At 41.5% G+C, this 14,418-nt stretch overlaps 1 protein-coding gene across 48 annotated transcripts in view, besides 2 other annotated features; it reads left to right on the top strand.

The window, feature by feature from the left end:
• APBB2 (amyloid beta precursor protein binding family B member 2) overlaps positions 1-14,418 on the top strand; it is a 404,516-nt gene that overhangs the window by 136,564 nt on the left and 253,534 nt on the right. For 30 of the 48 annotated variants that reach the window (XM_047450190.1, XM_047450184.1, XM_047450180.1 and 27 more), the window contains one exon: positions 12,306-12,403. The exons of the other annotated variants lie outside the window; for them this stretch is intronic. The gene's annotated coding sequence lies outside the window, so the exon portion shown is untranslated. The remainder of the gene's footprint in view (positions 1-12,305; positions 12,404-14,418) is intronic. 48 annotated transcript variants of the gene reach the window in all.
• Positions 7,650-8,200: an enhancer, noted in NCBI's record as "OCT4-NANOG hESC enhancer chr4:41071796-41072346 (GRCh37/hg19 assembly coordinates)". NCBI's record gives its function as "activates a minimal SCP1, AML or CMV promoter by ChIP-STARR-seq in primed H9 embryonic stem cells {active_cell/tissue: H9 hESC(primed)}" and the evidence as "EXISTENCE:reporter gene assay evidence [ECO:0000049][PMID:30033119]".
• Positions 13,808-14,308: an enhancer, noted in NCBI's record as "H3K4me1 hESC enhancer chr4:41065688-41066188 (GRCh37/hg19 assembly coordinates)". NCBI's record gives its function as "activates a minimal SCP1, AML or CMV promoter by ChIP-STARR-seq in primed H9 embryonic stem cells {active_cell/tissue: H9 hESC(primed)}" and the evidence as "EXISTENCE:reporter gene assay evidence [ECO:0000049][PMID:30033119]".

Raw genomic sequence — 14,418 nt, 5'->3', positions numbered from 1 at the left:
TTTATTTATCCCCAAATTCTCAAATAAGGTCAAACACAATGGCACATCTCTTGGTTCTTGCATGTGTGCATGTGACATTTTTCTTGGGCTCTCTGCTTGCTCATTCTGTTCTGGACTGTTTACTCTTGAGGCCTATGCACAGCTGTTGACCTGGAATTTGTCCTTAGCAATCACGTTGGGAATTCTTGATTGACCTGTTTATTGGATGCCATCTCTTTTGGTTTTGACCCTCTTTTGGGGAGGCACATTGCCTGGCTGCTTTGTGAGAAAGCATGTGTAGATGGAATTTTTTTGAGATCTGGCATGTGTCAAAATATCATTTGGTCTTCCCTTACATATGATTGATAATCTAATTTAAAGTTGGAGATTACTTTCCCTGGGAGTTTAGAGGGTTTGTTCCATTTTCTTCTGCTTCCAATTTTGTTACAGAATTGTTGCATGCTCTTCTGACTCTATGTACTTTGTATGTGACTTGTTTCTTTTCTTTTTGGATGCTTTTAGGGTATTTAAAAATCCCCCAGTGTTCTGAGCTTTTCTTGTAATCCACCTTGGTATGTCACTTTTTCATTCATTGTGAAGACTGTTCTCTTTTTTGGAGTTCCTATTTGTCAGATGCTGGAACTCTTGGATTTTTTTCTCCAATGTAATTATTGTTTAAAAAAAAATCCCTGGCTGTGTGTGGGCTTACACCTGTAATCCCAGCATTCTCAGAGGTCAAGGTGGGAGGATTGCCTGAGCCCAGGAGTTCCAGACAAGTCTGGGCAACATAGTGAGTCCTTATCTCTTCCAAAAAAAAAAAAAAAAAAATTAGCTGGGTGTGGTGGTATGCGCCTGTAGTCCTAGTTACTCGGGAAGTTGAGGTGGGAGGATCACTTGAGCCCAAGGATTCGAAGCTGCAGTGAGCTACTATTATACCACTGCACTCCAGCCTGGGCCACAGAGCAAGACTGTGTCTCAAAAAAAAAAAAAATCCTGATTTTTATCCTTTTATCTTTTTGTTCTACTTTAGGGGAACATTTACCTCTATTATCTATTAACCTCTCTGTTGATTTTTTTATTTCTGTGATTATAATATTAATTTCTAGGAGCTTTTTCTTGTTCTCACAGTATCTGTATTTTATAGCATCCATTCTTTATTGCTTTGTGGATGCAATATGTTTTACCCTCTTGGGGTTCTTAATTATGTATATTTGAAGTCTTCTCCCTGCATTGACCCTGTTCCCTCCTGAAGTTCCTGTCTGTCATGCTGGACCCTATTTCACATGCTTGGTGTTCATCTTGTCATCTTTATTCATGAGGAGGCACAAAGCAAGGCTTTGTCAATTGGTGGCCTCGCATAAGATGACCACCTCTTTTCAGAAGTCACCTTGTCTTCCAGTTTTGGTATCTGTAGATCTCTTTTCTTGGGCAGGTTAGTTTCTCCAGAAAAGTCTCCAGTACCAATCTCCTACTGGCCAGTGCTCTGGGAACCCAGCAGAGGAAGGGGCTGTGGAGTGCATAGTTCCACTTAGTCCTTCTCTTTTTCAGTCAGTCCCTCCACCTGGTCACTGTTCCTAGTGTCCCCGAGTGCAGATCTTCTCAAGCTTAACCTTTGCTGAGGTGGGAGGAGGGGCATAGCAAGCTTCATGGTTTAGCAAAGATATGGAGTTTTACTCCTTAAAATGACTTGCAAGCCATCCCCCAGTTTTCAGTGCTGCCTCCATCCTGTCTTCTCATCCAAACCCCACTTAACTGTGTCTTAACTTACACTTTCCTCAAGTTCTTTGCCGCATACTGGTTTGTTACTTCCTGACAATTCTGTCTATAGACGTTTATGTTTTGTCTGCCCCTGCTTTGAAAATTCACTCATCATTGGGCCATTTTCCAAAAATGTTTTCCATGAATTTTGTCCTCTTCCATTCTCTCTTCTCATGAACTTATCTCTGCCTCTCACTTACTGTCATTTAGGGGTGGTTTTGGGAGGGAATGGAGATAAGCACCGGGTTGTAATCTATCACATGTACCTGATAATCCCTGGTGATCAACTTGTGAGATTCAGTTCAATTTAGATACCTGGTTATCTGGTCCATTAAGGAAGAGTTCATTTGATCACTCTATACTTTTCAGTTTTATTCAGAGATTATTACTCTCACTGTCAAAATGAACTAAGTGATACTGTTTTGTTGGTTTGAGAATATAATAGAAAAAAGGTCAGTTATCTCTAAAGTATACATTCCAAGTCTGACCTCAGACCCAGTTATAAGCGTAACATAATATTTCCACCATTACAAAAAATAATGACCTTCATTGCCTGGAGCCATAATCACAGTTGGGTCAGTTTTTCTTAGATTTCCTATTAGGTTGACTTGAGTTGGGTCCAAGCTGGAAGAAAACATTCTTTTCTAAGAGCCCCTTTATCCAGTGGTCCCAGTTGTGTTCTATAGGGAACTGAGCTTCCTTGAGGCATCTCTGTAGATTCCATGAATAATGTTGGACCCTTGATGTTCTTCTCCATTCCCATGCTCAAATCACCCAGAGTATCTCTTACAAAATGCAGAAAGTTTTATGTGCCAGAAGCTTCCATCATTGAACATGTAAACACCACAGCAGAATCAAGGCCGAGTATTATCTTTCAACTTTTCTCCTTAAATTTCATTAGTACTTCAATTTTAGGAATAACAACTGATTTATTAAAATTATGTTTAATATATTATTAATGTGTATCAAAGATTACTGTAAAATTATTTTTGGGTCTTGTTCAACCATTGTAAAGTCAAAGGGCAATCAATTCAAATTTTAAAGGTTTTGTATCTCCAGAGTTTGAATGAATATAGGGGAATCTGATCTGATTTCTTTTGTTTTTTTGGAGACAGAGTGTCACTCTTGTTGCCCAGGCTGGAGTGCATTGTCACAAACATGACTCATTGCAGCATCGCCCTCCTGGGCTCAAGCAGTCCTCCTGCCTCAGCCCCCCAGGTAGCTGGGACTACAGACACGTGGCCAGATAATTTTTTGTGGAGTCGAGTTTTGCCATGTTTCTCAGGCTTGTGTTGGAATTCCTGGGCTCAGGTGGTCCACTTACCTCGGCCTCCCAAAGTGCTGGGATTACAGGCATGAGCCACCATGCTGGGCCTGATCTAATTTCTAATCTAGAGTTTACAAAAATCCTTTTAAAAAAAACAATAATATGGTGAAACCCCATCTCTACTAAAAATACAAAAAATTAGCCGGGACTGGTGGCGGATGCCTGTAGTCCCAGCTACTCGGGAGGCTGAGGCAGGAGAATGGCGTGAACCCGGGAGGCGGAGCTGGCAGTGAGCCGAGATGGTGCCACTGCACTCCAGCCTGGGCGACAGAGCAAGACTCCATCTCAAAAAAAAAAAAAAAAAAATAATAATAATAATATTTGCCTTCATATGGTAGAATTAATATTTTTCTGTTTCAGACGCCTCATGTTCTTTGTTGATAAATCAATAGATTGAGAGTATGTAGAAGTTCTGAGACGAAATCTTTCTATTTGCAGGTTCCTGTTGTCACTATGATAAAGAGTGCTGGGGCATCTGTTTTGTGCTAAAGCTAACTAGAAGTGTCGCTGCTCTGAGCAACAGGCAGGAAGTACTTCTGTCCTTAAAACCAAAAATAGATGCTCTTTCTCATTATCATAGCTCAAATGATCATCTTTTTTAATGAGATGGGCACATCCCTTGTGGTTTTCACAGATTTAATGACCAGATTATTTAATGCAGAGCTTGGGGAAGAACAGCTCTGGTAAGAAAGATGATGGAAATTTTACTGGAAGCAAAAATAACAACTTTATTCCTTCTTTTTTCTTTCTGCTAATGTTTTCAACCTCTTATTCCTTTGTTTGTTTGTTTAGAGATGGTCTTGCTCTGTCACCCAGGCTGAAGTGCAGTGGCACCATCATAGCTCACTGTAGCCTTGAACTCCTGGGCTCAAGCAATCCTCCTGCCTCAGCCTCCCAAGTAGTTGAGACTACAGGCACGTGTCATCACACCCGACTTGCTAGCATATTGATTGACTGCTTAATTGATGAGATGAGGTCTTGCTACATTGCCCAGGCTGGTCTTGAACTGCTGGCCTCAAGTGATCCTACTACTTTAGCTTCATTGTATCATTGTATTCATTACACACTGTAATGCTGAGATTACAGGTGTGAACCACCTCACTGGGCCTCCTGCTGTTTTTTTCTTTTGTTGTTGTTGTTAATTATTTTTCATGATTCTTAAAGGGATTCACTTGTCTTATTTTAATATATTGGTATGTTTACACATTTCTCACTATATTTTAACTTCCAAGAGACCATTACCACGGAGAAAAAAAATTATTTGTTAAGAGAGTTGGAGGTGTCAGGATTTAGGTATACTGTATGTGGTCTGACTTGCTTTGGACAGCTCTGCCAAGTATTGTGTATTAGTATGTTGGCAGTTGGAAGGTGAAAAATTGCTTCTTTGCTGATTTTAGAAAGTTCTGTTTGTATTTCTGAAAGTAAGGCAAGAAACAAAGAGAATAGAAGAAATTTAAGGGAAATAAGGTAATATATGTGAAGGTGCCTTGTAAACTGCTAAATCACATTACAGCAAGTGTTGAACTTAAAGTGAGAAAATAAGATCCACAAAGATGCTATAAAGAAAAATGGGAGAAAGAGAAAAGAACTTAGATAGGAAGTTGTTAAGAAGAAACAAAATGGGAAAATCATAATGGGGAATTTTTACATTCTAGGTTTTTTTTACTCTGAAAATTCAGGAGTAGTTGTTCTTGCTATATGAGCAGTGAAGTAAAAAATATTTTTTAGCCGAGAAGAATGTTCTGTGGAAATAATTGGGAAAAAGAATCTTATCTGGGGTGGTGAAAGTTGGATAGAAACTACTAGGCACAAGACCTAGTCTAAAAAAAGGTCTAAATAAAGATCTGTGTGTTGTAGGGGGTTATGTACTTAATTAAGGTGTAATTCACATTTGTTACCACTTAATTAAGGTGTAATTCGTATTTGTAGATCTCTTCTGAGCCTTTCCTTTTGTTCTCAATCATACCTTTGCAAGGCAGATATCCTTAGCCCATTTTACAGATGAGGCTTGGAAGGCTAATTGATTTGCCAACAGTCACTTAATGTATGCAATGGTAAAGTCCTCCCTTTCTTCAGGTTCTGAGTTTGTTCCCACATTTCTAGATTGTTCACATCAGGGCAATTGGTTTTGTTGTGTTTCTGGAGATTCTGCTTATTGAATTTCTCCAAAGGAGGTGCTTGTTAAATAACAGTGGTCACTTAGAAATAACACGCTCCGGGCAGGTTTTTTAGGCTTGGCTAAATGACTTCAAATGAGTTCTGCTTAAGGAACACTATTTGAATTCCCTAAGAACCAAGAAATAAACAAAAAAGGCATCACAACAGCCCAAGTATGTGTTCAGAGGCCGTGCCCTGTGCCCTTCAGATCTTATCTGGAGCTTGGTATTTTAAGTTTCGTTCTCTTACACTTCATTATTTTATTTGAATTCCAAAATCATAGCTGACTTGAAGAAGGGAAAGGTTGGTACTATAACAGAAATGAGATGCAACTCTTTAGGACAAAGGAGAGGAGATAGCCAGACTGTGAAAGGCAGACACATATCCCCAAAGCCTAGCCGCCATCTGCCTTTGAGTAGAGGAATAAACAGCCCTCTGTTGCCTCAGAAGCTTCTGAGAACAGCTGTCTTGCCACTGGCCTTTAATGGGCAGGTTAAACCCAGTTACCAGCAGGATACACACAAAGCCAACTTCACACCCTCTCCCTCTATTCGCCATCAATTTATCTCCAACTCAGATCCTGACTCTAGTCGGCCACAGCTCTTGACTTCAGACCTGGCTCTGTAACTTGGATTTCCCCTTGGGCTCTCCAGAGTGTATTTATATCTGTGCTTTCCTTGTTGTGAGAACTTCAGCAGTCTCTTCCTTTTGATTCTCATTGCACCCTGTGCTTTAGTAGTAACTCCCCATCCAGCTCTCTTTGTGGTGGTAGAAACCCAGCTCCTACCCAGTAACTGCTGCCACTCCTTTTCCTTGGAGTTAGTATTCTCATGTTCCAGCAGAGCAAGTAATTTATAGTCATGTTGATGATCCTGTGTCACCAAACAAAGATTAATCATATTCTGGATTCTCTGAAGAAGGCATTACCTTTTAGAAAAAAAAATTAATCCACTATGGTTGAAATTAAACCCATTTTGATACTTAAATGGGTAATCCTTCAGCTGTTTTGAAAATCGTGATCATTCTCAATGTCTTATTCTTTGAGATTTTTTTTAAAAAATTTTAATTGTTTTTTTTGAGACAGAGTCTCGCTCTGTCACCCAGGCTGGAGTGCAGTGGCATGATCTCTGCTCACTGCAACCTCTGCCTCCCGGGTTCAAGCGATTCTCCTGCCCCAGCCTCCCAAGTGGAAGAGATTACAGGTGCCCGCCACCACGCCTGGCTAATTTTTGTATTTTTAGTAGAGATGGGGTTTCGCCATGTTGGCCAGGCTGGTCTCGAGCTCCTGACCTCAGGTAATCTGCCTGCCTTGGCCTCCCAAAGTGCTAGGATTATAGGTGTGAGCCAGCGTGCCCGGCCTATTCCTGGAGATTTTAAAAAGCAGAAATTATATTGTACTATAACTGCAGAATGATGCAGAGAATTATAATTATTGAATTATAGAATATATTATTTTGGAAGAGCATAAGCAACCTTTTAGATAGCTTACATCACCTTTCTATTAAAAATTGTTGCTTTAAGTAAAGCCATTTAAAAATTTTTTGTGTACAAACTTATCTTTTAGGTCAACAGCAGGAAATGCTTAAGCAGAGCTATTACATATCTTAAAATAGTGAAATGAGCATTGTAGAACTAGTGGCTGTTGGCATGAAATGTTTACTTTGGAGAGAATTCTTGGCATTTTTGCCCCACATCAGCATAGTAAGAACTTGTAGGAGAGGAGGGAAGCATTAATGTATTTGTTGAGGATTAATGACTTTGTAGAGCATTTGTGATAGTGAATATATTATGGCTAGTACCGTAAATGCAGTAATTAAAAAGCTGCACACTAAACACTTTGTAGACTGGCAAATATATTCCCTTCCTTTCCTTGATGGCTTGCATTCAAGTGAATAGCGTATATTTATCTTGATCTTAGCGTTCTTAAGAGTAGAAAGAAGTCTCAAAGGTTGATTTCCTTCCCGAGATATTGCTAGTCAGATGGACACAATCAGATTTGATGTTTTCAGGATCAAGTTATTTTTTAACAGTTCAGAAAAATGTCACGTGGTACATACTAATAAAAAAAACTATTCCTCACCTTTGGAAGCTTTATTATTAAAGTTATTTTTAGACAAATATTACCTTGTGCTGCTGCGTAATATAAAATGTGTTCAGGCCAGGCATGGTGGCTCACGCCTGTAGTCCCAGCACTTTGGGAGGCCGAGGCGGGTGGATCGCTTGAGGTCAGGAGCTCAAGACCAACCTGGCCAATGTGGTAAAACCCTGTCTCTACTAAAAATTAGTCGGGTGTGGTGGTGCATGCCTGTAATCCCAGCTACTTGCGTGTCTGAGATACAAGAATCACTTGAACCCAGGAGGCGGAGACTGGAGTGAGCCGAGATCTCACCACCGCACTCCAGTCTGGGCGACAGGAGTGAAACTCTGTCTCAAAAAATAAATAAGTAAAATAAAATAAAATGTGTCCAGTAAGATCATGATACCTCAGGGCTTCTTTTATTATAAAAGAAGTAAAATTGTGAGTAATAGAAATATATATTAGGACTAAAACAGACCTGCAACCAAGGTGAATTTTTAAAATTTTCAAGGAAGCGAGACTTGGTTATCTCATGACTATTTATCTTACTGCCCCAGCAGGTTAAACTGAAGTGGGTTGTGTGAATGAGCATCTGGGAGGAGAGGCACCATGCTGTGAGAGTAATGATGTCCTGTCCTTCACAGGGGAGGATGACAAAGAAGGCAGACAGATGTAAAGTCTGCAATTTCTGTTGCTTTGTGTCCTCAAAATGTTCATACCCATCTATTTTCCCATTTAAGAGGCATCTTGTGTTTCATAATTTCTGAGTCCTCCCACTTAACATGCAGTATTTACTTACAAGTTCATATTTATGAGTTCATAAAGATTTTCTTCTGTGAAAAGTATAAATGCAGCTGAATGTGATTTGCAGCTTTGCTTTGAGTCAGTTAGGGTAGGAAAAGAAGAAATAGACTATTTCTGTTCTCACCATTTAATTGGCCTCCTTACCTCCTAGTTGTGAAAGCTTTTCACTAATGTATTGGTTTATTGATTTATTTCACATTTATTGACTGCTTACTACATCCTATGCCCCGAGGATACAGAGATGAGTGTTCCAGTTAGTAGGCATCTGATGCCTTTGAAACCATCTCTGTCCTGACTGACTTCAGTGCAGATAGCATTGGTTCTAAAATCCTTTCAAGTTCCAGAAATGGCCTGGATCTTGTTCCTGTTAACAGAATAGACAAACCGCAGAGCAGTCTTAGAGTTTTTGAGATCACAAAGGCTGTCTGGGGAACATAAAAGCTGCTTTTCCAGGTGTTTTCCATCGCATCGGGTTTCTAATGAATCTTGCTCCTTTGGCATTACTGGGATACTTTCCAAGTATAAAGTCACTCCACTCCATTTCTGAATTGGCTAAAACCCTAGATGGAAAAGCGTTCAGGAGATCACAGTGGGATGGCATAACTACTGTTTTAAGAGGCAGCTAGGAAGTCTCAGTGGCAGGTGCCACTGCCAACCCATTCTCCCTTCCTTCTTGCCTTTACTCTCAAATGTCTGCCTCTTTTTCATTTTCAGTAGTTTATCCATGGTAGGAAGGACCTTTGAATTGGAGCAATTCAAGAAGCTTTCTAAGATGGTGGGTAGGGCCAGGCATGGTGGCTCACGCCTGTAATCCCAGCACTTTGGGAGGCCGAGGCGGGCAGATCACAAGGTCAAGAGATCGAGACCATCCTGGCCAACATGGTGAAACCCCATCTCTACTAAAAATACAAAAAATAGCTGGGCATGGTGGCATGTGCCTGTAATCCCAGCTACTCAGGAGACTGAGGCAGCAGAATTACTTGAACCAGGAAGTCGGAGGTTGCAGTAAGCTGAGATCACGCCACTGCACTCCAGCCTGGCAACAGAGCGAGACTCCATCTCAAAAAAAAAAAAAAAAAAAAAAAAAAGATGGTTGGTAATAGTTTTGCTTAATTAAACTACACGTACACCTTTGGAAATGTTGACACCCAAAGCCTGAGATCATTTTAAGAAAAGACATCTTCCAGATCTTTTGCTTATAATAGTATTTTTTGATACTCTGAAGTTCTACTCTTAGGGGTAAAACTTATAAATGCTCTTTTCTATCTTGGTACAAACTGCCTTGTTTGTTTGTTTACCTTAAAACAGACTTAGACTACTTTAATTTGGGGGGATTGCTTGCCAGAAACCAAGAATTTCAAGATCCATGTCCTCAGACCATTTACCTGTCATCTCATTCTCAACAAAGAGACGTTGCCAACTATTTTCTAGAAACATTGATGCAATTTGGTCTATTGCCTCCAAATCCCAATACTATTCATTATGAACTTACTATAGCCAGATTTATCTTTCCTGTAGCCCCCACTTACCCAGTTTCATTTCTGTGATTGCAGTTTCCCATAGTACAGTACACTAAGATAGTTATGAGAAATAGAGACCACATTCACTTGCTCTATTTTATTATTGGGTATCATTGTTAATCTCTTACTGTGCCTAATTTAGAAATTAAACTTTATCATCGGTACATATGTATAGGAAAAAACATAGTATAGGTAGATAGGGCTTGGTTCTATCCATGATTTCAGGCATCCACTGGGGATCCTGGAATGCATCCCCCATGGACAAAGGGGAGCTACTGTACTTTCCTTCTAATATCCGAGGATTGTGGACTCCCCTCTTCTTCGAGGTCAGTCCCTTCATCTGTACTCCTGACCCTTTGGCCCACCTCTTTTGAGATCTCAGGCCATCTTTACCTCTTCCCCCTTAGACTTTCAGCCTCTCCCCCTGAACTGAGTCCTTCAGCCTGTAGCCATGCGCTGTGAGCACTTAGTCTCTTCCAGCAGCCACGCATTCCCTTTCCTGGGCTCTTCCACTTGCTCTGTTTATTCTGTTATCTCTGCCTCCACCACTTCACTAAAACAGCTCTCCATCAAGGTGGACAGTGACTTCTTAAATGTCAAATCCAAAGGTATACTTTTCATTTTTTATCTTTATTCATCTCTTTCTATCCCGTGGTACCTCTCTACCATTCTTCCTGGGTCTTCTTCAAAAGATGGTTTTCCTCTGCACATTCTGTTATGTGTGTTCTCCAGGATTCTGCACTGATCCTGTAATGTTCTCCTTCTGTCTATGTTCCTGCAGTGACGTCACTCACTGACACAATCTCTGCTCCTTTCTATGTTGTAATCACTTTTATGCCTTTATGTTTTTCTCAAGCTGCTTCTCCAGGCTTTACGCTCAAGAATATCTCAGTATCTCCCCCTGAATCTTCCACGCTTCAATTTCTCTCTCTTTTTTTTTTTTTTGAGACGGAGTTTCACTCTTGCTGCCCAGGCTGGAGTATGCAATGGCACGATCTCAGCTTACTACAACCTCCGCCTCCCAGGTTCAAGCGATTTTCCTGCCTCAGCCTCCTGAGTAGCTGGGATTACAGGCATGTACTACCATGCCCAGCTAATTTTGTATTTTTAGTAGAGATGGGGTTTCTCCCTGTTGGTCAGGCTGGTCCCGAACTCCCGACCTCAGGTGATCCGCCTGCCTTGGCCTCCCAAAGTGCTGGGATTACAGGCGTGAGCCACTGATGCCTCAGTTTCTAGTGCCCCAAACTAAATTCCTTGTCTTCCTTATTTCTTCTCCTATGTTCTCTACCTTGGTTGTCACTACCATCCACCCATGTGTAATAAACCTAGTGTTCTGCTTTGAACTTCCGGATGGTTCCAAGTACTAATTCTTCTCTCCTCTTCTCTACCTACTTCTACTGCCCTAATCTCCACCCTTTCCTTCTCCCTGAATGATTGTAACAACCGAACAGGTCTCCTGCCTCTACCCTGCCCCCTTCAAATCCACCCAGAGAATCATGCATCCAAAACCCAGATCTGACCCATCAGTGGCTGTTTACACCCAGGATAAAGTCAGAGTTCTTTGAGACATGTACATGGTTGCCATCTGGCTCCAGGCTTCTTTTCTGGCCTCACTCTGCAGGCCTCACTCTAGAGAGTGGCCAGCAACTCTGGACTATACCATGCGGTTTCTTACCTTTCCCTTTTCCATCGCCTTGTCTCGCATCCCTAGCGCGGCTAACTCCTACCCAGCCTTAGGACATGCTAGGCATCCCCTTTTCTTGGAAGGCCTCCCTGACCTGTCCATTTCTGGACTAGACGCCCATGCTTGATATGAATCTCAATGATTATGCTCATCCCATGGCCCTAGGGTGGCCAGTTTGTGTGCATCCTTTGCCTCCCCTAGACTTCACTTTCCTTAGAGATAGAGATGGTATCTTATTCATCTTTGTAGCTACAGTGCTTAGCATGGTGCTGGGTGTATAGTAGGTGTTCTGCATATGTTTTTTAAATAAAAAATCAACTGACAGTAAATCGACTTGATGGCCACAAAAATGGGCAAAAATAATTTCTGCGTAGGAGTCACCCTTAGAAGGGAGCATGAAGGGGACTTCTGCAGTGCTGATAATGTTCTGGTTTTTCATCTGGTGTATTTTCAGTTTCGGAAAATACATTGAGCTGTCCATTGTCGTGTGTGCATTTTCTATATGTTATATGTCACTGAAAAGTTTTTTTTTTTTTCCAATCAACATGACATCTAACCTCTCCAATACAGAAAAAAAAATTTCCTCATTTCAAGCTTTTAAAGTTTTATAGGATATTAGTTCAGATGTCAGAGCAAACAGCCAGGCAGTGCTATTCCTTGATGTTAAGGAAGAATAGAAAAGCATCAGGGAAACGCAGGTGAGATTGCCTGGACTTTTGATGGGGGTCAGAGAAGGCCAGCCCTGGTCAAGCCTTCCAGTGACCTGCACCTCTGTCACACTTATTGCAGGGCCTGCATGCTAATCATCAGCAAGCCCTGGGCCTGCCTGCGGTGACAGGGAGACTTCATCTTGCATGCGACTATGAATAATTCATAAACATGGTTATCTGGAAATATGTGGTCATCATTAGCATTTTAATGAAAAAAAAAAAAAAAAAGCTGTCATTATCCTAAGTCTCTGTTTTGTTTCTACCTTTTTTTTTTCTCCCCCCACCACAGCTAACCATCTCAGTCTTTCCTGAGGACTTGGGAACTGCCGAGGCCTCTGCCAATGTGTTGACTGTCGCTATGGGCTCACTGTTGTCCAGGCAGCTCATGTATGTATGGGATCAGTCTCTCTCTTGCTTTTTTCTCTTTAATTTTCATTGTAGAATATCACAAGAGTACTGAATTGGTAAAAGCTTTAAAGGTTTAAATAAGGATGTTTAGAAATACAAGAGAATGGATTGCTCTAGGGTAAGTTTTAAATATTGCATGGTAAGAAATGTTATCTAAATTAGGATTTTTGTAATTAAGTGGCCCTATAAGACCAGAAGTGTATGTCAACAATCTCCTTTTTCTGTTTCTGTGCATCCATTCTTTTTTTCCAAATTTTTCTTTTCTTTTTTGAGACAGGGTCTTGCTCTGTTGCCCAGGCTGGGGTCCAGTGGCATGAACACAGCTCACTGTAGCTTCGAACTTCTGGTTCAAGTGATCCTTCCACCTTAGCTTACGGTGCAATTGGGACTACAGATGTGCCACCGTGCCTGGCTAATTTTGTTTATTTTTTGTAGAGATGGGGTCTTGCTGTGTTGCCCAGGCTGGTCTTGACCTCCTAGGCTCAAGAGATCCCACCCACCTCAGCCTCTCAAAGTTTCTGGATTACAGGCATGAGCCACCATGCCTGGTCTAATGTATCTATTCTTCTACAGGCTTTTATTTTTTTAAGCTTTCCTTTTTCATCACAATATGTTAACATTTGAAATGATAATAATGCCATAAATTAAAAACGTTTCACAGTGATTGTTTGAATTCCTTTATAATCACAAAATTCATGGACCCAGAAGAGAGGTCCCCTGGGTATGTCTCTGTTTAATATGTATTAGGGAGGGAGTTCCTGGCTCTTACTTCTTAGCCTTCTCCAAAGGAGGAAACTCTTTCAGTTCCCTCAGGGATGACCTTCGATGTCTCACAACACTAAAGTTTTTCCAGCAGTCTTTTGGGAACTGCTATAGTTGTAGCCTTTTCCTATTTGTCGTTACCCCTGATTAACCTGGGAGAAAAATGATTCTTCCCTTTAATGATCTATGTTTATTTCTATGAAGGGCAGTGTGTCTCAGACTTACTTCTTGCTCCCTGCAGTCTTTTGGCCTTGGAGCAGCTGTATAGATATTTATTTGTTTTTGTTGCTTTCCTTTGGAACCTGTGGAATTTTGGCTCCAAGTCAGGGGAAATTTGGGGTAATTCCCCATAAGTGCTTTTGCCCCCATATCCTTTCTGTAATTATGCTTATTCATATTCATCTTTAAGTCCTATTACCTTGTGCAGCTCAGTTTTTTTCTTTATAGGAAAGTTATGGCTGGGCTCATGCCTGTAATCCCAGCAGTGGCTCAAGTCTGTAATCCCAGCATTTTGGGGCCAGGCGTGGTGGCTCACGCCTGTAATCCCAGCACTTTGGGAGGATGAGGCGGGCGGATCACAAGATCAGGAGATGGAGACCATCCTGGCTAACACAGTGAAACCCCGTCTCTACTAAAAATACAAAAAATTAGCCAGGTGTGGGGGCGGGTGCCTGTAGTCCCAGCTACTCGGGAGGCTGAGGCAGGAGGATGGCGTGAACCCGGGAAGCGGAGCTTGCAGTGAACCGAGATCGCGCCACTGCACTCCAGCCTGGGCGACACAGCACTCCAGCCTGGGCGACACAGCGAGATTCTGTCTCAAAAAAAAAAAAAAAAAAAAAAAATCCCAGCATTTTGGGAGGCTGAGGTAGGCAGATCACTTGAGCCCAGGAGTTTAAGACCAGCTTGGGCAACATGATGAAACCCTGTCTCTACAAAAAATACAAAAATTAGCCAGGTATGGTGGCATGTGCCTGTAGTCCCAGCTACTCGGGAGGCTGAGGTGGGAGGATTGCTTGAGCCCAGGAGGTACAGGTTGCAGTGAGCTGAGATTGCACCACTGCATTCCGGCGTGGGTGACAGAGCGAGACTCTGTTTCAAAAAAAGAAAAAAGAAAGCAAAGTTAGAACCACCCTCAAGCCCTCACCCAGACAATTGTTTGTAAAGTAAGTCAGACAGTTAAAAGCAGTGGCACTTTATAGCAGTAGGGAGGGATAGCTGATAATAGAATAGGG

This window comes from Homo sapiens, chromosome 4, assembly GCF_000001405.40.
Source record: "Homo sapiens chromosome 4, GRCh38.p14 Primary Assembly".
Classification (NCBI taxonomy): Eukaryota; Metazoa; Chordata; class Mammalia; order Primates; family Hominidae; genus Homo; species Homo sapiens.
The sequence above is the reverse complement of the archived record's forward strand: the minus strand, read 5'-3'. Positions and strand labels throughout refer to the sequence as shown.